Source organism: Homo sapiens, chromosome X (genome assembly GCF_000001405.40).
Source record: "Homo sapiens chromosome X, GRCh38.p14 Primary Assembly".
Classification (NCBI taxonomy): domain Eukaryota; kingdom Metazoa; phylum Chordata; class Mammalia; order Primates; family Hominidae; genus Homo; species Homo sapiens.
In genome coordinates this window covers 29850205-29871317 of record NC_000023.11, presented here as the reverse complement: position 1 = coordinate 29871317, position 21113 = coordinate 29850205, and the positions used below count along the sequence as shown (strand labels likewise).

Sequence of the window (21113 nt, the reverse complement as noted above, 5' to 3'; positions counted from 1 at the left end):
GAAATTGTACATATGTTACCTTCCATGAGAAAAGAGACTTTGCAGGCATGATTAACATTATAGACTTTGAGATGGGAGACTTTCCTGGTGGGTCCAATCTAATCACATTGGTCCTTTAAAGCAGAAAATCTGTCCCGCTGTGATCAGAGATACAGCATGGAAAAAAGGGCCAGAGAGATTAGACGTTGCCGGTTTTGAAGATGGAAAAAGGGGGCCACACACTGAGGAATGTGGGCAGCCTCTAAAATTTAGAAAAGGCAAGGAAATGGACTCTTCCTAGAGCTTCAGAAAGGAATTCAGCCCTGTTGAGTTCAGCCTCACCTTGAGTTTGTTCTAGTAAGACCCATGTCAGACTTCTAACCTACTGAACCGTAAGACGAGAACTTTGTGTTGTTTTAGGCCACTAAACTTGTGGTAATTTATTACAGCAGCAATAGAAATCTAATACCATCTGCAAATAGACAAGTTTCCAGTCCATATTTTTAACACTGTGGTTGCAACCACTTTCTCATCTCACTTCCTTCTTGCTTATGGAATACCAAGATATGGGTATATCTTAGTGACTTTAAAAATAAAACAATATAACTGTCTTGAGTCTGAGATATGAGTCCTCGGCATTGAGAAATGGTTAGAATAGAAAGTGAGGTAGTGTGTCCTGACCAGGCAAGTGAGACAGAGTACTCAAAAAACTATGCTATGATTCCTGGAGAACCAGGTAAGCAGTGAGTTGTAATTAGGAGGGTAATCTATAAGATAGCATCAAAATCAGAACGCAAGGAAAAGTGGAAGCTCTGGCTACAGGGAATTATGACTAATACAAGCTAGGATAACTGCCTATCGGAGCTGTGATTTGGGAAGCCTTGGGAGAGAGAATAGATTTGTCAGTTCAGCACCTGGATCTCATGTCTCATAATTAATGTTAAGCCTTCCTCTGAATGGGAAGTGCCACTGCTGTGATTGAGCCTAGGTATCCTCAGCCTCAATCAGGACCCTCTAGGTGAAACTATCTTTGCCCCTGGCTGCAGGCAGCTAGGGAGATTCCAAAGCAGAAGAACTAATGCAGAAACTAAAGATAATCATTTAATTTTTTTCTTATTTTCTTCCCCATACCTTCCCTTTTATTCTTTCATTTCTCTGTCTTTGGCAATAGCCAGATTCATTGACTCTGAATGATGTTTTATAACATCTATCTTTTGCTCTCATTGTCAAATCAACCACTAAGTCAGACCCATTCAATATGCCTAATAGCTTCCGCCAGTCATTTTCCAGAATTGATCCTTTCTGGCTGCCTTCTGAGGCAGTTTTCCTGAGTGGCTGTCATCTTGTCAGTCACTTCTTATATATGTTACCACTGTCTTTGAATCTCACAATAGTTGTCTCTCACATTTCCACAATCAAGCCAAAGAAGCCATACTAATGTACTGTGACCCCATTCATGATGCTCCAACTCTTCTGCTTGCCCCCTCTGCTGTACTCAGAGAACCCCATCCATCATCCTCCACCTTAATTTCCCATTTTTCCTATGCAGTCTCTTCTAGACTATGCCAAAGAGGGCCACTTGTTTATTTTTTCAAGTTCAACTAAATTAACAATTTTCAAGTAGTACATGGTAATTGGCAGACAATGTATAGAGCTTACCCTGATTATCCATGGAATGGCAGTTATTATTTACACCTCCTTGTAGTCAAGGACATTTTATAATAAAGAGATAACTGTGGCAAGAAGTTCATGTCATTACCTTAATTCTTGCTTGAAATAGTCTGAGTCTAGGTGAGAGTTATATGATGAGACTCTTAGCTTTTGTTGAAGCCCATAGTTCACAAGGTTTGGCCCAGCACTATTTGTCTCACCTTATCTTATGGAGAGATGCTTCTGGTGACCACTATTTTTCTGCTAGGGGGAGCATTACGTATCACCAGGCTTTCTTCCCAGAAGTGTAGAGACAGTGCCTACCTTTCGTAAAGTCTCCCTTTAATAAGAAGTGGGAATGTGGGCCCTTTAATGTCTTAACCTGCAATAAGCAAGCCTTTGACAATCCACAACGCTAAAATACCAAGGATATTATTGGTTGCAAATTAATCTCTCAGTTATCACATAATGGGCACTGATGTATTCTGTGTGTGTTTTAAAACGTTGAAATGTATCTTATGACTTAACATTGTTTTGTCACACTACAATTATTACTTTAAAATTCCAGGAGATATAAACTCTTGTGTGTTAGTGCATAGATTAAGAAATTATTATTTCAAAAGAAGGCTTTCAGTAGCTTCCCTTTCCTGTCTATCCTCTCCCTAAGACAGTACTCATATCATGCTTTCCAAATATGAAAGTATAAAGAGGAAATAGAGAGGACGTAGTCCAAAACCTGAAATTCCAACCGGTTGAGTGGAAATCTAACCCAAATTGTACACTCTCAGATGTGGGGTATTGAAATGATGCAAAAAACATATGCAAGCCCCTCTCCACACTGCCTATCCCATGAGTTTGCCCAGTGAGAACCTAAAATTGCCAGTTAAGCATTCCTTTGGTTTAATGTTTGTGAAAAGTCAGAGTAAGATATAAAAATATTTCCAGGATATTTAAGTCATTAAGCATTTGCTGCTGTATCTATATGCAGTATTTTGTCCACTTGGTTCTCCGGTCTTGAATTGCACTTCAAACAAATGAGAGAAAGTAGAAGGTCAACATTCTGCTGTCTGTTTGTTAGCTGATTTGTATATTCATTAATTCGTTGAGTTCGTGATTCAGACAACTAACACCAAATGAGTGCTAACCATGTGCCACGCATTGTGTTAAGCATTAGAGCAGGGGGCCTAGCCAGAGAGAATGGTGGTTGGAATTTATTATTTTAAGTCCATCCATCCATAGGAATGTCCTGCTGGGTGCCTCACAGTGTAAAAGGCACAATAAGAAGAAAGAGATGCCAAAATATCTGGGGGCATAAAATTAGCATTAGCATTTGTGACCAATTTTTAAACAATTTCACAATGTCTCTTGGGAATGATTACTGGGTAGAGTAGTTAAAAGACGCTTAACGTCGAGAATTGGAGATTATGTTGCCTTTTCATGATCCAGCTCACTTAAGGTCAAATTAAATAAGATGAAAATTAAACTTCCATGTAACATCATAGTTCAGCTTGGAAGACAGTGACTAGCTCATTCAAGCCAAAAGTAATAGGATTATGCGTTGAGGAACCTCACTAGAAAAGAAAAACAGTAGGTCACTGGGGAATTTGCTTTGTAATAAATTTGCTACTTAATTGTCTCTCTATTCATGGCCAACTACAAGCTACCCTGAATGATAATTTGAAAGCAGTTTCTATTATTTGTGCCACCAGAGGTCATTCCACTAAATAAAGTTCAATAATCAAATAAGCTGTCTTAGGTATTCAGTTTCTCAAACAGCAACTAAATTATAAAATCTCCACGTTCTGAATTGGCCTTAATGATGACTTAGAATTGTATGAATGATTCTATTTGGAAGTTTGATCATGACCTACAGCACCATGCACTATCGACAGATGAGGGATAAAACATGGAATTGAGGGGAGGCTGCATGGTTTCAAAAGTTAAAGTAAATTGTTTACTCTCTCAGTGCTTCGAATTCTAGGAATTGCTATCTTCAGGAAGTTTTGGGTGTGCAAATGTGTTCTCCAAGAGTTTATTTTATGTTTATTTGGTATTTGTCTTAGTCTGTGTTGCTATAGGGGCTGGGAAATTTATAAACGAGAATTTATTTCTCAAAGTTCTGAAGGCTGGGAAGTGCAAGATCAAGGTATCAGCAGGTTCAGTATCTGGTAAGGGACTGGTCTCTGCCAAGATGGTGCCTTGAATGCTGTGTCCTCAAGTGGTGGAATGGCAAAAAAGGGCCTAGGCCACTCTCTTCGATCTCTTTTTTAAGGTTGATAATCCCATTCATGAAGGTTCTATCTTTATGACTTAATCACCTCCAAAAGGCCCCGTTTCTTAATACCATCACACTAGGGATTTTCAAAATAGGAATTCTAGGGGATACTTTCAGACCACAGAAGTATTTAAAACACATTTTTCATTAAAAAACAAAGAGCACACAGAAGTCTGGGTTCCAAATCAGGGCAAAAGTTTAGTTGTCTATTTCATAATGTTAACTGAAACATATAAAAGTTTAAGAGTCTTGTAATTTTATTTTTTTTTTACCAATATATATTTTATTATGAATGTGGTCAATAGGCCATGGGCATTGTTTTCACTCTGCTCCAGGCTTCCATCCCAGGTCTGATTACAAAGTTGCCCGGGTGATCCTGAACAAGTTATTTGACAACATCTTAAGAATATCTACCTTATAGGATTGTTGGGAGAACTAACAGCAATAGAAAATATAAAGCACTATGCACATTGTATGATGCATACAGAGGAATCAGTAATTGATGGTGATGGGTGATATCATTTTTAATAGTTATTATCATACACATTTTCTCTATCAATAATCCTAGGAGCACAAACTATTGCAATGATCATATTAATGATCTCACTAAAGCAGTGGTGAGAGCTCGAGTTCTGTTGCAGCAATGTTAACAAGACTGGTCCCTTTGTTAAGTGGCATTTGATTTATGAGGCTTTTTATTAGTTAGGAATTCTTTCCTCAGGTTTGTCTACCAAATATGCACACGAGATAGGTGTTTCTGAAAATACATCAACATCAGTGATAATATGGTAATGGTAATCACAATGAAATAGATTTTTTTTTGCTTCATACCTAACACCACGTCAAATATTTCACAATCTATTTGTGTATGCTTTATCTCATTTTGTCCCGTGCACAGAAGACCACTTCGTCTTTGCAAACCTCCATTTATCAGAAAGGCTGTGCCTGATTCTTAATAAAAGAGCGTCTTTATAATTCTCCCTGTTCCCTTACTCTGATTTATTTCTCATCATGGTGCTCATTATCCCAAGATATTCTACTACGTACTTTCTGGTGGTCTTTCCTGTCTTGTGCAACCAGATGTGGGCTCCATGAGAGCAGCTAATGCATTAATTTACTCCTGGCCCCCAGTCCTGGAGCAGCACCTGTCACATCTGGACATTCATTAAATGTTTGTTGAATGAATGAATGACGTATTAGGTAAGATTTAATCAGTCACATTTTGGGAGAATCAAGCTGAAACTCCAAAAAATTATTAAATGTTCCAAGGTATCCTTCCCATGACTGAGCTGGTAAATGATATGGCCAAAAACTGAACCCAAAGCTAATCCCAAAGCAGAGTGCTCTATATTAATTCTGGCTAAAAATGGCATTCCTATAGATCAGGGTCATTGTGTCATCAAAATATCTTTTTAAAAATATATTCTAAGCCATGTAATAAGTTGAAATTAAAACAGCATATGTGGCCGGGCACAGTGGCTCACGCCTGTAATCCCAGCACTTTGGGAGGCCGAGGCGGGTGGATCACTTGAGGTCAGGAGTTCGAGACCAGTCTGACCAACATGGTGAGACCCCTTCTTTACTAAAAATACAAAAAAAAAAAAAAAAAATTAGCCAGGCGTGGTGGCGTGCACCTGTAATCCCAGCCACTCAAGAGGCTGAGGCAGGAGAATTGCTTGAATGTGGGAGGTGCAGGTTGCAGTGAGTGGAGATCGCACTACTGCACTCCAGCCTATTTGACAGAGGAAGACTCTGTCAAAAAAAAAAAAAAAAAAAAGAAAAGAAAAGAAAAAAACAGCACATGAACAGAAATGAGCCCAATGCAACCACAGGCATTTATTGAGCATCTATTTTGTGAGCAACATTATTCTGGGGATGAGACTTCTTAATTTCACTCAATATTAATATGTACTTGTGAGCATCTTGCTCTCAACTACACAAAATGAGAACAGACAAAAAGGCTATCATTGAATTTTCCAGTATCATTCACGTACACAACTTTTTAGGCAAAGTGTTTTTGCCTATTCTAGAGCACTTATTTTTTAGACAATATACAACGTATATCACACCAGGTAAGGCAAATTGACTATTTCTCTGAAGTTATTATTTCCCTAGGAAATTGCTACCAAGAACATAAACATGAAGTCATTGCCTCTTCTCCACTTGTTTGTTTCTCTGTGATTCTTGTATTCCCATTTTGCTTTTCATGGAATTTTCACAGAGTGCAATAGAGATGTCACAGACCAGTTTACTAATGCTGCTTGGTTTCCTGTGACATCGGTCTTTTTTGTTCTGAGAAGTTAAAAATAATCACACAGCATTTTCGCAAGTGTTTTTGAATAACACTGGATGCATGAAATCCTTTGAAAACAAGGACTCAAACAAGTATTGGAGTGGGGAGCAGGGGCAGTGTTTTAATCTGACTTCAGGCAATCTCATCTTGCACAACTTATTATGCTCTTTTCTGATAAGTATCTATAATTGCCACTGGTTAGAAGTGGCAGAGGGTTAACCTCTCGCTCTAGGAATTTTGCTTCTAGATTGTAATGTGAGCAAATTTCACAGCAAATTTTTCTTTAGACATTTACGAACAAGCTAGCTCAAAACAGTCGACTCTATGAAGTCACACATTTCTTTAAAGTGGTCCAAATGTCATTTTACATGAAAATTTCATATGAGGTAAACATGATAAGATCAGAGAAATAATTCAGCTAATTAGGCTATCAGGAGCCAGGCAATCAAGAAACTTCCAAAAATGGTAATCAAATGTACAGTACCATTTCTCACATTAAAGGGTGAAACCTTACTAGATTTGTATACCCTCTTCATACAAGAGTAGGGAATGTCTCTACAATATTTTGGCCAGTACACACATGGGGAAACCACAAATTACACCAATGGAAACTCATTTCTGACATTCTTCTGTTAATGCTAAAAAACAAAGCATTCTAACAACCCATTCTAAGAACACTATGTGAAATAGCAAAACCTCTGTTTGTAGCTCCGAGATAAAGAGAGCCAAAACATTTGTAAGGGCCACCCCCTTCAGGAGCAATGCAGTCTATCCTTCTTGGAGATTTCCAAAGCATATTAACATTCAAAGGTTTTGAGGTATCACACAAAAAACAAACTTGCTTAACTTTGTTCAACATTGAAAGTTCCAAACTTATTTGATCACAAAACAATACTTCGGCCTAACACTATTAATATTCTAAGTCAGTAGTTCTCAAAGTGTGGTCTCTCAACCAATGTCACCAAGATCATCTGGAAACTTGTTAGAAATGTAAATTCTCGAGTCCCACATTTACTGAATTAGAAGCTGTATGTGCAGCTGGGCACGGTGGCTCACGCCTGTAATCCCAGCACTTTGGGAGGCCGAGGCAGGCAGATCACGAGGTCAGGAGTTTGAAACCATCCTGACCAACATGGTGAAACCCTGTCTCTACTAAAAATACAAAAATTAGCTGGGTATGGTGGCACACGCCTGTAATCCCAGCTACTTGGGAGGCTGAGGCAGGGGAATCGCTTGAATACGCTAGGCGGAGGTTACAGTGAGCTGAGATTGTGCCACTGCACTCTAGCCTGAGCGACAGAGTGAGACTCTGTCTCAAAAAAAGAAAAAAAAAAAAGTTGTATGTGTGGAGCCCAGAAACAAGTCCTTCAGGTAATTCTCTTGCATGCATACTAAAGTAATAGAGTCACTGGACAAAGGAACCAACATCCTGAATACAATTTAGGGAACTTACTCTATAGGCTTGATCTGGAAAAGTATCTTTTTTATTTATCCACATAAACTTTTCTCCCATGAGAGAACCCTTTTTTATTTATCCACATAAACTTTTCTCTCATGAGAGAACCCTTCTATAGCCTATGAAGTCCCCATCTGACTTGCAAGTCCCAATGTTATTCCTTATAATGTTATTTCTATTTAAACAGTCTGATTTTGGGGGGCTATAGTCATGTAGGTCAGGGGATTTGCAATTTACTCCTGGCCTGTAGTCCAAGACAGTAAGACAGGAAAAGAGGTCACAGTCTAATTAACTTTCTAATTAAAGGAACATGGTCGCTTTCTAATTACACTCACAAAGAATAAAATGTAGCTCATAATTAGAAAGTTACTCTGCTCTATTTAAAATTTGCATTGTGTCAGCTATTCCATCATCATTATTATTGTTTAATATTTATTCTGAAATGCAGAATCTATTTTCAAAGTACCTTAGAAGAGGTTTGATTTATCTCTCACATTGCAATTGCAAAATAGGTCAGTATTTCACAGGATGATATAATGAGATACAGAAAGTTTATGGCATTCACATTATATATCATTAACAGAGTTGGGATTTGAGTTCATGGTCTTTTGTGACTACATTTTTCACCCTCAGTTCAGTGGGTAAAAAATGTCTCTACTATTTTTTTCTCTAGCCTTTTTTTTTTTTTTTTTTTTAAGTATGCCAAGACTCTTTTCGGTATCCGGTATCCATAGGTAACCACGGCAATCACCTGGCTAAACATCTGCCTTAAAGAACACTAAGCTTCTAGAATCAGTTTTCGGGAGAGTCTATCAGAACACAATGAGTCTGTCACAGCACTCCGGGTTTCTCATTTTCATCCCACCAAACACGTACAAACATGCAGCCAGTAATAAATGTCTACCGATAGATATTGTTTTGAACATGCTCTATTGTTCCTACTTCTTAAGAAGCCATTTGTATTTCCAATAAGATGCAAAGATGCTTTACGAAAAGAAAAAAAATAATAATAAAATGAAAATTAGGCTGCGTTTTTGTTTTACAACACAAAGTTGAAATTAAATGTGTCATTTTTTCCCACAATATTGTTTCCCATTACTGAAGAGAAGTGATGGGCCTGAGGGTCTCATGCATTATAAATCTCATGTGCTTTGGATAGCTAGTAAATCACACGTTTTTGCCTATAGTACTTTCTGCCGAGCTCAGCATTTATTGCTTACAGCTGAATACAGCCACCTAAATCATCCGTCACGTTTTTATAACCAACTGCAGCTTTCCTTTTCATCCACCAAGGAAGTGAAAGACTTTCAGAATGAGAATAAGTGAGAGGTACCTTTACACACCCCAAAATACCATGCATGAATTCTGTAAGAGGGGAATATATTTACTGATATTAAGAAATAAGAGCTTTTGAAATTATTCACCCACATGCTGACCTCACACCTGACTTTCCATATTATCATCTTCTCAAATGCTGAGATTATTCTTATTTTTTTTTTTTTTTTGAGACAGGGTCTTGCTCTGTCGCCCAGGCTGGACTGCAGTTGGTGTGATCATGGCTCACTGCAGCCTCAACTTCATGCTCTACCACACAAGGTTAATTTTTTTTTATTTTTTAATTTTTTGTAGAGACAGGTTCTTGCTACATTGCTCAAGCTGGTCTCGAACTTCTGGGCTCAAGCAATCCTCCCATCTTGGCCTCCCAATGTGCTGGGATTACAGGCATGAGCCATGGCCCTCACCCTGCTTAGATTCTTTACTGTGTGTTTCAGTGAGTGTGTTTATTATTGGACCAAGACTGAACATTTTAGATTCAGATTAAAAGAAGAAATATCACATCACGGATTTAACAGCTAGGGAAATTTTATTTTTTCTCACTAATTTTTTTTTTAAATTTAGGGTTTGGGTATTTTGCACCTCTGAGAAATGCAGTTTATTATTTCATTATTTTTATTTTATTTTTTATTTCCATAGGTTTTTGGGGGAACAGGTGGTATTTTGGTTACATGAGGAAGTTCTTTAGCGGTGAGTTGTGAGATTTTGATGCACCCGTCACCTAAGCAGTATACACTGAACCCAATTTGTAGTCTTTTATCCCTTGCTTATTTTGGATGCTATATTTCTACCAGTCTTACCAGGATCAGCTAGTTAGGTGACAGTAGCTGAGGGTGATGTATATTCCTCCTCTCAAATTCTTCATTAAAGCATTACTTGGCTTCTGCCTTTTAGATCTGTTGTAGCAGTGGTTCTCAACTGTGACTACATATCACAATTGCCTGGGAAGTTTATTAAAATACTGACACCTGAGTTTTATCCTTAGAGATTTGGATTGCATTTCTCTGGGGGTAGAGCTCAGGAATAGGGGTTTTGAAAAGCTCCCATGGATGATTCAAATATTGATATCCTATTCCTAAGATGAAGAAGAAAAGAGGCAACAAAGTCTTCTCTTTAGAGCATTTCTTGTCCTTGTTTTCTCCTCAATTCCTCTATATTTGACCATAACATTGATTTTCATTCACTCAAAGGAATACATTTTTTGCACTCTTCAAGAAAAAAGAGTGCTTTCCAAAAGCAATTCCCATCCATTATTGCCTAAAAAGTACAGCATTAACTCCTGAGCTCTTTAGAAACTTTTGATAAGTGCTTTTCTGAAAAAGCTTTAATCTTTAACCACAGTTCATTACTTTCTCCTCCTCTTACTCCTATTCTTTATCTCCCTCCTCCTTTTATAATATTTTGTGGGCAGGAATTTAGAAAGGGTTTTCAACAGAATTTTCCAAAGGCAAACAAAAAGAAAGAGGTGCTAAGGTGACAGAGTGATTTTGTGCAAGACACATGCACATGCATGTTTATTGTGGCACTGTTCACAATAGCAAAGACTTGGAGCCAACCCAAATGCCCATCAATGATAGACTGGATAAAGAAAATGTGGCACATATACACCAGGGAATACTATGCAGCCATAGAAACCGATGAGTTCATGTCCTTTGCAGGGACATGGATGAAGCTGGAAACCATCATTCTCAGCAAACTAACACAGGAACAGAAAATCAAACACCTCATGGTCTCACTCGTAAGTGGAAGCTGAACAATGAGAACACATGGACACAGAGAGGGGGAACATCACACACGGGCCTGTCAGGGGGTGGAGGGATAGGGGAGGGATAGCATTAGGAGAAATACCTAAGGTAGATGACAGGTTGATGGGTGCAGCAAACCACCACAGCACGTGTATACCTATGTAATAAACCTGCACGTTCTGCACATGTATCCCAGAACTTCAAGTATAATAAAAAAAAATTTAATTCTAACTTAAAAAGTCACATCAGTTAACTCTGTGACTGGCTTTTACAAGCCGCATCATATGCTACTAGAGTATTATAGTTATTTATATGGTTTATTGACACACTAAATTATAAGCTAATTTGGAATAAAAACAATGCATTGTTCCTTGTATTATTTTTCACATCACTCTTCCTAGCAGGTTCTTAAGCAATACCTATCGGGAGGGTGATTTGACATAGAATGACATGCTTACTAGCCTTTGTGAAGTATCCTTGGTCATAATTGATAAACAGTTCTCAATGTATTAGAATAATTATACATTTCAAAAACTCAAAGTTTTTCAATTTTCTTTGTTAGAAATAGAGTTTATAAAGTAACATCAATTTCAGGATTTCCTATCTTGAATTGTTTTTCAGTCCTCACCACTCTTGTACTAATCGTCTTATGCTCATTTATAAGAAAGGTCTTTTATTCAATGCCCAAATAAGTTAAAAGCATATCAATGTATTTTATCTTTAAATGTAACTTCTAGAAGACATTCAATGGCACTTTAATGTCTTTTTAAGGACCCTTTCTGTGTAAGTATTTATTAGATTCCAACATTAGGATTTTATCAATAATGTCTTATGGTAAAAACCAACGACAATTGAACTCATTTTGTATAGAATATCTATAACTCTTCTAGAAATATTGTTCATAAATTGGTTCAAAGTAGAAGTATTTTATTTCAGTAATTTTTAACACATTTCATAAAAAAGTAATATAGAAATTTTTATGTGGAAATTATTTACATACAAAGGTGTATGAAAATAATTCATGCTATCACAGCATCAGTTTCTAGATGGTTCTTATGCTGGTCTCAGGTGAAAAGGGAAAAATCACATTCAGAGGTGTTATCTGAGGAGGGCTTTGGGTAACTTTTGGTGATCTCCATTACAAGTGCAGAAGGTATGGGGAGGAAAAACACAGTTTTAAGAAGGCTTTAGGGAAAAAAGAAAGAAAATACTTGGTGGTAGATTGGCTATGGAGAGCCATCAGAGGTAAATTCCAAAGTCTTAATTTAGGTGACTGGATGGTGTTACCAACTGTAAAAGAAAAAACCTGAAGAGGATAAATAGTTGAGCCTATGACCTTTGTGATACCTCCAGGTTGAGATGGCAGTTGAGAATAGAAGTTTCAACTAGAGATGGGGTTTACAAAGCTATCATCATGTAGTTAGCAGTTGAAGCCATTCCAGAATGAGATTGCCCAGAGAAAATTTAAAATGAAAAGAAGAGAGGGGACCAGGCCTTGGGTAGATTCAAAAGGTAAGTGGTAATTGTGGGATTAGAGAAGTACAGATGTACAGAGAAGCAAGGCAGCTGCTTCATGATTGCTAACAGAGGAAAGAGCTTTGGTAAGGATAGAGTGACTCACAGTGCCCAATGCTGCAGAGGAGGTAATATGATTAGGGTGAAAAATACCCACTTAGGAGTGAGAACATTTCAGTGGAATTTGGATGGCTGAATTCAGACAGCTCAGGGTTGATGATCAAGTGTGATGCCATGCAGGACTAGGACTAAAATGAGGCAAATAAAGAGCCTAGGGAACAAAATTTAAAAAAAAACAAAACACTCTCTCTCAGGGATGTGCAAGTCTGGAGGGAAAAGAAAACTGACACAAGGCCTATTAGCCAGATGTCCAGCCAGGTAATATCCAAGCTCCAGGGTAAACAATTATCACTGGGAAGATCTTGAGATACACAGATTTTAGGAACAAATTCATGGTGCGGGTAGGAGGTGGCTGTTGCTCTAATACAAAAAGTCCAAGATTGAGGTTAGAAGATGAATAAAAGAGTAACTGACCTAGGGTAACATATTCTAGAACAATTCTTATGCCACAATGAACCATAAAAAATGGCTGGCATTGGGCTTTTTCAGGCTTACAGAGTGGCACTTCCATATATTTTAATGTAAAAGTCTCTTTTGCACTCCCCAGAGTATATGTGGTCCTAGGAACTGCAGAGAGACTAAATTGAAAAATAAAAGGTCAGAGGTACTGTGAAAGTGAACGTTCTATAATCAAGCAACGGATATGTATTGAGTTTTTATGATGTGCAAAACACTTTACGGTGTATTGTGTGTTGTGTGCTGTATTGATCCATACCACCCTAGTGTCATCTTTTCTAAATAGACTGTAAATTCTTCTCATAGAAGGGTGTTTCTGGTACTTCTGTTAGATTCCTTCAAGGCACAAAGCAAAATTTGGAACACCAGGAGGTTGAAGGGTGGCACAATTTGCTACCCTCAACTATGCCACTTTGGCATAAGGATTATGTTGAGCTAAAGGCACTTGGAAAACAGCAAGTACAAGAAGAACATTCTGATCTCCCCCTTTTCTTCCTGAAAGCAAGCGATGAAACTCCCAAGTGAAAGATGTCTTTCCTATACCAGAAGAAAATAAACATTCTCATCACCAGAGATGGAGAGTCAAAGCCTAGAGATTCTGTACAAACAGACCTTGTGAAAATAACTCTTTGTCTCCCATACTCTTTGCCTCTTCATACAACTTAGTCAGTCACTTTTCCAGAATTGCCTCCCTTTGTCCAATCTAGTGTAAAACCATTTAGGTTTTACCACTTGTTTGGTTCTTCATTTTCTTACAAGGGCTCCTGTGTCAAATAAAATTCATATTAAATTTGTATGCTTTTCCCCTCTCAATCTGTCTTATATCAATTTAGTTCTCAGGCCAGCTGAAGACCCTAAAAGGGTGAAGATAAAGTTTTGCCTCCCTTGCAAGGTATTCAATTTATTCTAGATAGATGGGAGATGAAGGAGGCATAAGAAGGTGTCATTCTTCATATCTAAATGTCAGATTTTCTTTGAAAGGAAGGGAGAAGCAGTCTTCAGCATTTTTACATTGATAGCACTTTATTTTAGCAGTGACTTGAAGACAATATGATAGTTAGAAATATGGACATAGACATAGAAATTTGGTTTACTTTGTTTTATTATTATTTGGCAGTTCCTTGAATGTTTTCAGTAGGTTTTAAACTTCTGTGGAAGTTTTTTCCTCTTGCACTATTTGAAATCTAAAAGATAGTTTAAATTTAGGGGTTTTATTATTATGTTTTATTATTATTTGGCAGTTCCTTTAATGTTCTCAGTACGTTTTAAACTTCTGTGGAAGTTTTTCTCTTGTGCTATTTGAAATCTAAAAGATAGTTTAAATTTAGACGTACTTATTTTATTAAAATTAATTGCTTTTCTTATCAGTGAACTCGTGTTATGCAATTTTCAGGCAAAATTATTTCAAGTGAAGCTGAGAGGGGCTCCAGATTCAAGTATGGTACTCAATCCATTTTCTGTTTCTATGAAACTATGCCATTGCAGACAGTTTTCTAATTTCCAGCTATAATTTTCAAATCTTTTCTTAATGATTTATATGTCCTTATTGGGCTAGGCAAGCAATATATACTAGTTTAAGTAGAGCTACTTGGATGCATTGCTGAATACTGCTAAAAGAAGAATTATACAGACTAATACATGTAATGCAATATACACTTATGCATATATATTACTTTATATGCATGTAGTCTGTGTGTAATTCATAAATTTATAAACTATCCATCTTGGCAAACTACAAGATATCTAAGGCTGATTGTAGTATACAATTTATAACCCTTTAGGTATAGTCGAGAAATATAAAGGGATGTGAGTTTTATAGTGATTCCCTGGATACATGAATTCAGCTACAGATCCACAAATCCTTATTTGCAATTCTGAATTTCTAAAAGCTCTGATAACTGAAAGTTGTTTTTATGGTAATGTTACTCATTTGGTAGCAAAAGAAACTACTGTGAGGCTATCTACAGTCCTTATTACACTTAATATGAATATTCACATGTTTTGATGAAGAAATATTAATCTGTTTCGTTATGTGATGCTGCCACTGAACTCTCTTGGATGCTATGTAATACATGATGCATATATAAACTGTCTCATCTTAGTACATTCTGAATAATTTTAAATTCTGAATTGCATCTTGTACCAGCTCCCAGGAGGTACTGACGGATTTAAGTAATCTTAGTCTGTCTGAAGAGTTTCCAGAGCATCAAGGATTCCAGGCTTTACCTCAAGACCCAAGAGAAAAGATTCAAGGAAGTAGTTTGGAGTATGTTCACCAGTATTTTCTAAAATCAAATATAAGTCACTTGGAATGTATCCTTAAAAGATGAAAGAGCAGTTTCTCAACTCGTGCTGGAGCTCTTAGACTGGTGTACCAAAACTCTCAATTCATGGAATAGGTGAATCTCCTAAACTATGTATGGAAATGGTGCATGGTATATGCATGTAGGTATACGCACTTTTCTTTAATAGAGGATACATAGCTTTCATCAAATTCCCCAAGGGGTTTTTGATGTAGAAAAGATTGAAAATTACCATTTGAGAGCTAATGGTAATAAGAAAATAACACTGATGGTGGATAACTGAGAGACTCAGGTACTGTCTGAGACAGTAAGAGTAGCTACCACTTTCTGAGCAGTTAACATGAGACAGACATTGTCCTGCTTGCTTTAACCCTCCACAACAAATTCACAAGCAGGCATAGGTGAATATGGTAGATGTAGAAATATTCAACATTTTAACATATGGATATTGAAACATGTTGAAAAAAAAAACCCAAAATTGGGGCTAAGGGGTATTATTGCTTTTAAAAGTCAACTCCTACCCTACCTCTGCCACTCGTGCAGTTCCAGCATTAGCTGCCCTCGTGAAAAAAAGGAATCTTATAACCTCACATCTTAAGACTTTATCTTCTCTCTAATATGCTGGTTCAAATAACTTATTCAAACCAGAATGTTGGTAGATGGGCTTAAAACTCCAGGATCTTTATCTAGAGCCTTGAGATAATTATATACACCAAAAATAACCCTAAAATAACTCTCAAATTCCCACTCAGTGAGTGTGATCTCAGTAAAAATGGCATATATTTAAAGATAAAAGAATTAGTCAACAAATTTCTCTCCCGTTCTGTGTGCACGCATGCGCATATGAGCGTACATGTGAGTTTCTGTACTTGTGTTTATGCACATACACAAACATGTTTCCATAGATGAATTCCAGTAGATGCCTACCATTTGTCTCATTAAGAAATTAATGGGTAATGAATTTCCTCCTACACTGATATGAAAAGACACTCTTTCTACTGAGAGAAATTCACTATCTGGGGTAATAAACACAAATCCTTTTATCAATCAATTCTGTCTTAATGATTCAATGGCTTGGATACTAATCCCCCAAATTCCTCTCTTTCTGTTTCTTCACTGGGCATGGTGAAGGGTCTGCTTAAGTTGTCTTTCAGTGACAGCCATGGGTGTTCTATAATTTACGAAGACAGATAGAACATAAAGAGGTATACAAATGCCTGCCCAGAACAATTAAATAGGTGTTATAGAGAAATAATACCTCCCGTTAATTTTGTGTGTGTGTGTGTGTGTGTGTGCTATTTGGTCAGGCTGGTTTTGAACTCCTGACCTTAAGTGATCCTCCCGCCTTGGCCCCCACAAAATGTGATTATATGGGTGAACCGTTGTGCCTGGCCCCATTTTTTATAATAGTTGCCATTTATTGCTTGATTTACTCTGTGCCTCGCTTTGTACTGATGTCTTATATATACCATATAATTCAATCATTACTCTAAACCAGGAAAGTATTATTAATATTTCCATTGAATAAGAGAAAAAATTAACTTAAGGGTATAAAATTAAGTCACTTGCCCAAAAAGTCACAGTTAGTGAAAAGGGGAAGTTGGGATTCAAATGTAGCCATCTGATTCCAGAACCAGACCAGCCCCCAATCCTGACCTTGGGTGGCTTGTCAATTCTGACGACTAGGTGGAATAGCATTCATCTGATATTTCTCTACTTTTAGCTGAACCAGAAATTAATAAAAATAAAATATCATATGAATGATTTATTCCTTCAGTGGCTTTTATCTCATCAATACCTTTCCTGTGTCATCTTAGAAAGCCCTGTCTCCGTAAGTTAAATTCACCCAGGTCAGGCCACTCCTTCTCCATGCTGCTCAGTGTTTAGGTACCAGTATATATTATTGGAAGACAGCATAAAGTGAAAGCCACAAGAAAGTCTTTGATAACGTTACATTTTTCTCTCTTTTGTAAGCTGCTCAAGCCAGTAAAAAGAGCCTTAACGGTGTGTGAATAAAGTCTTTCTCCTGGAAGTAAGTAGAAGACAGCTGTCACTAACTACAGAAATGTTTCAGGGGCAATTTATGTGAAGTCAGAAAGTCATCCTTCGTACCTCGAAAATTTGGAAGGAGAATGAGAGAGGGGTTTGGGGAAAAAAGTTAGATACAGCGAGATTCCCTTCTATTGTTTACATGTCACGGATGAAAACAAAATACGTTAGTCACTTTTAATCAGTTAAAAACATTGAATCAAAACAATCTTGTTGCTCAGTTCAAACTATCTTCTTATCGATTATTGGTTTTCCTCTAATTATAACACCACAAAAAATAGCTCCTCTGAGTGAAATCATATAATAGAAAATGACAGATAATCAGTCACCCAAAGCGTAAAGGGATTGCCAAAATTCAGAAATTAAAGAACTTATATTAATTTTGCATGTTTTCTTTTACACCATCAGGAATAGATGGTTATATATGGAACAGCGATTGATGACTGAATTCTACTGAAAAAAGATTTATAATCAAGTTGCTTCTAAATCGATTTAATAAATGTTATGCTTATTGCCTTAATAATTAACTTTTAATTGCCATTCTTTTCTTTTTCAAATACAAGTGTTACCCATAAAAGTAAAAAAAGAAAAAAAAAGCATCAGATAACTTGATCTGTTGTGGTTCTAAGGAGAGACAGGGCTTTTGTTTTTTGTTTTGTTGTGTCTTAGATTTTGTTTTTTTATGAGACAGGGTCTTGTTCTTTTGCCCAGGCTGGAGTGCGTTTGTGCAATCACGGCTTACTAAAGCCTCCTCCTCTTGAGCTCAAGTGATCTATGATGCCTGGCTAATTTTTTTTTCTTTTTTTCTTTTTTTCGAGACTGGGTTCCACTTTGTTGCACAGGCTGGTCATGAATTCCTAGGCTCAAGGGACCTCCCACCTCAGCCTCCCAAGTGTTGGGATTATAGGTGTGAGCCACTGCACCTGGCCGTGTTTTTTTTTTTTTTTTTTAAAGCCATAATAGAATTGGCAGATCAGTTTTTACATGTACTCCTTGCAGTCTTCAAATAGGGTCCATCCCATTATTTTCTCTGAATGTGTCTGGGGCTTTTCTCTCTAAATGCTGTGTCTCACCAAGGTCTCTTCAACTGCATGAAACAGTTTCTTATCTCTCTTGGTAAAACCCCATGTGCCCTAGAAGGTCCAAGTCAAAAGCCACAGGATTCTCACAGTCAGCTGTGTGATTGCCTCATTTTCTGGAACAGACTCTCTTACATGATTTCTTAATTCTGTGCCATAATTATTTGTGCTCATTATTATTGTTGTTATTGCTCAAATCTGACTGTAAACTTCATAAAGGATTGCCTTGCTCATTTTTGTTTCCTCTGGAGACTTTTCTTGCTCTTGAGGAGCTCAGTAAGTAGCTGCTAAATTGAATGAGGAAAATAGTCACCTCTTGAAAATTGAAGCTAATAAGCATTAAGCTGAAACAGACATGGTTATTCATCTGTTGAAAAAACTGACTATAAAAAAATGGTTTATATAGATAGTTGCTGATGAGTTTAAGGTACTTCCCAAATCTCTTTACTGGATTCTGTAGTTTATCTCCTAAAGGTACAGGAGACTAACTGTCATGAATACAAAATAAACTCTGACCTAAATTTGTGTAACAATGTTAGGGCTTTGTTGTCCCAAAAAAAGTTTGGTGGTATGAATGAAGAAGAGATCAAAGTTAGATGAAAGGCAAGAACTGCCCAAGAGTGACATCATTCCAGTGTCTGCTGCCAGATTCGTAGACTGAAAGACTTCCAAAATGGGGAGGAACAAATTGAGTAAACTGAGTTTAAGGGAATGCCCCTTAACACTTTTTTTTTCTCTTCTAATTCCCTGTACCAAAAATCCTTCTGATCTGCAATTTAGTTTCTTCAATGAGCTTATTCATTAAGAGGGAGTACCCTGTTCAAATGATTGATGCCGGTTATCTTACCAGATTCATCTCCCATTTCATTTAATGAATCAGCATTCTGGTTTATAAATCAGTTTCTGGCAAGTTGGCTTAACATTCACCACTTCTGCACAGCTTGGTCTCCCTTAAGTGAGCAGATTCATTTACGTTTTCATTGCTGTAAATCCGAGGAGTGGCCCCTGGGCCTATGGGAAAATTTCCAAGAGCAGTCTCTGTGTGACTTTGAATCAAAGCAGACAGCTCAATTCAAAGCTAAAACACTTTAAGAGCATCACTATGTTTTAAGAATAACTTGCTATTCTGATTGCTGCAGTCCATAATATTCAGTAGGCAATCTATATATATTTGTTAAAGTAAATGGAATCTTTTGCTTACCAATGAGCCACAACAAAGAACAGCTTCTTGTTTTTACTATTATTTTTCTTTTTCTTTGATAGAATTATGGGCATGGTAGTGGGGAAGGGAAAAGGAGATAGAACCCACAAGAAAAGCCATCAGAACAGAAAAGGACCTACAGCTCCCCCAGGTCTATGCATGTCTGAGAGTGACCTATGTACAGATAAGCCAAGACAGAGCATCACTGCACAGAAACGAAGGAAGTGAACTCAAAGGGGTAGGCATGACAGAAAAGGCAAGATGTTTTGGTTACTGCCTTAAACAGGACAATTTTGAGAAACCAATAAATGTCTAGAAGGATTCTTGAAAATAATTTCAGTATGATAAACCAGTTGAAATCCCCTATAGAAATTCTCCTTCAGGGCTCTACATTATTTCAGTGGCCTTCTGGAAATTGAGTTATTCAATTTGTTCTTGTTTGCATGGGTGCATTACCAGCCTTTTGAGGGGAAGTACTATATAATCGGGCGATATTTGGGACTACTTTTTCAGAATTGTGTCCCAAAGGTATCCAGCCACAACTTGGATAAAAAGCTGAGCTTATTGTATATTTTCATCATGGCTGACATAACTCCAGGATTTAAGAGATAAAGGGGCATGATAAATCAGACAGGAGCCTTGGTGGTTTTAAAAATACAACCAGAGAGATACAGAAATATGGGTCAAGATGATTTTAAAGTTAGAAGTACTGAGACTGTATATATGAGGGTCTTCAAGATTTTTGTTTATGCCACTGCCCCACCTTTTCCATTAGAAACGAATCAAAATGCAGTTTTGAAGGCATATTTTCTTACTGACTTAAAGGTGAACATGGCAATCTGGACAGATACTGGGATTCAGATGTCAAATTCCTAACTTTACCTCCTCAAAGGAAAGGGAGAAAGTTCTTGGTATTATTTACATAAAGAATAGGAAGAACTCTCATCAAGGTCTATCCAGGATGAAACAAAACACTGAATTTGGAAGGCTCGAAGTTCGAGATGAAGTTATTGTGGGAACAACTAATAGCCAAATATTATTGAATAATCTTAGACTGCGTTTAGTGGAAGAATATAGGCTGCATTGTTACTGTCTGTGAAGCTGCTCAAGACTGAAAAATAAAAACTGGCTGAAGGGTGAACTGAGGCACAGCTGCCTGAAGCCAAAGCATACCAGCTAACACTGTCCCCACGAGCAGCAATAAGGTGAATTCCTTCTGGAAGGCAATGTATTCCTGCCCTGCTTTCCACAGTCGCCACCCACACCGAGCCTTACGGGCTCCAGCAGGGGAGAGGGTGGTCTGCACCACCTCAATTGTGGCAGCCGTGAACCATGAGGCTTTTCATCCGGGAATCACATGTTCTTGCTCTTTGGAAAGGCCTTAGAGGTCCTGAAGGGTCCTTAAGGTCCCAATTAAGCCTCAACAAGATTTGGCACAGGCAGTTCTTTCTGTCCTGGGTCCTGGAACTGGTGGACTGCATTTTGAAACACATGGCTATGCCTAACCTGGAAACATCTCCAGAGGTCCTTGAGAAAATCTGAAGGAGCAGGGTCATGGGGCTATGACAAGAAAGTGCTACTGGATGCACAAATAAACACTGATCCCCTTGACAGATGACTGCTAAGGTTTAAGTAAGTAGGTAGATGGTGGGCAGAA

At 37.6% G+C, this 21113-nt stretch overlaps 1 protein-coding gene across 3 annotated transcripts in view, besides 1 other annotated feature; it reads right to left on the bottom strand.

Moving 5' to 3' along the window:
* The window catches only part of IL1RAPL1 (interleukin 1 receptor accessory protein like 1), a 1369273-nt gene that overhangs the window by 85401 nt on the left and 1262759 nt on the right, over nt 1-21113 (bottom strand). The gene's annotated exons all lie outside the window — the stretch shown is intronic.
* Nucleotides 339-418: a silencer, noted in NCBI's record as "silent region_20723". NCBI's record gives its function as "represses an Ori minimal core promoter by ATAC-STARR-seq in GM12878 lymphoblastoid cells {active_cell/tissue: GM12878}" and the evidence as "EXISTENCE:reporter gene assay evidence [ECO:0000049][PMID:35858748]".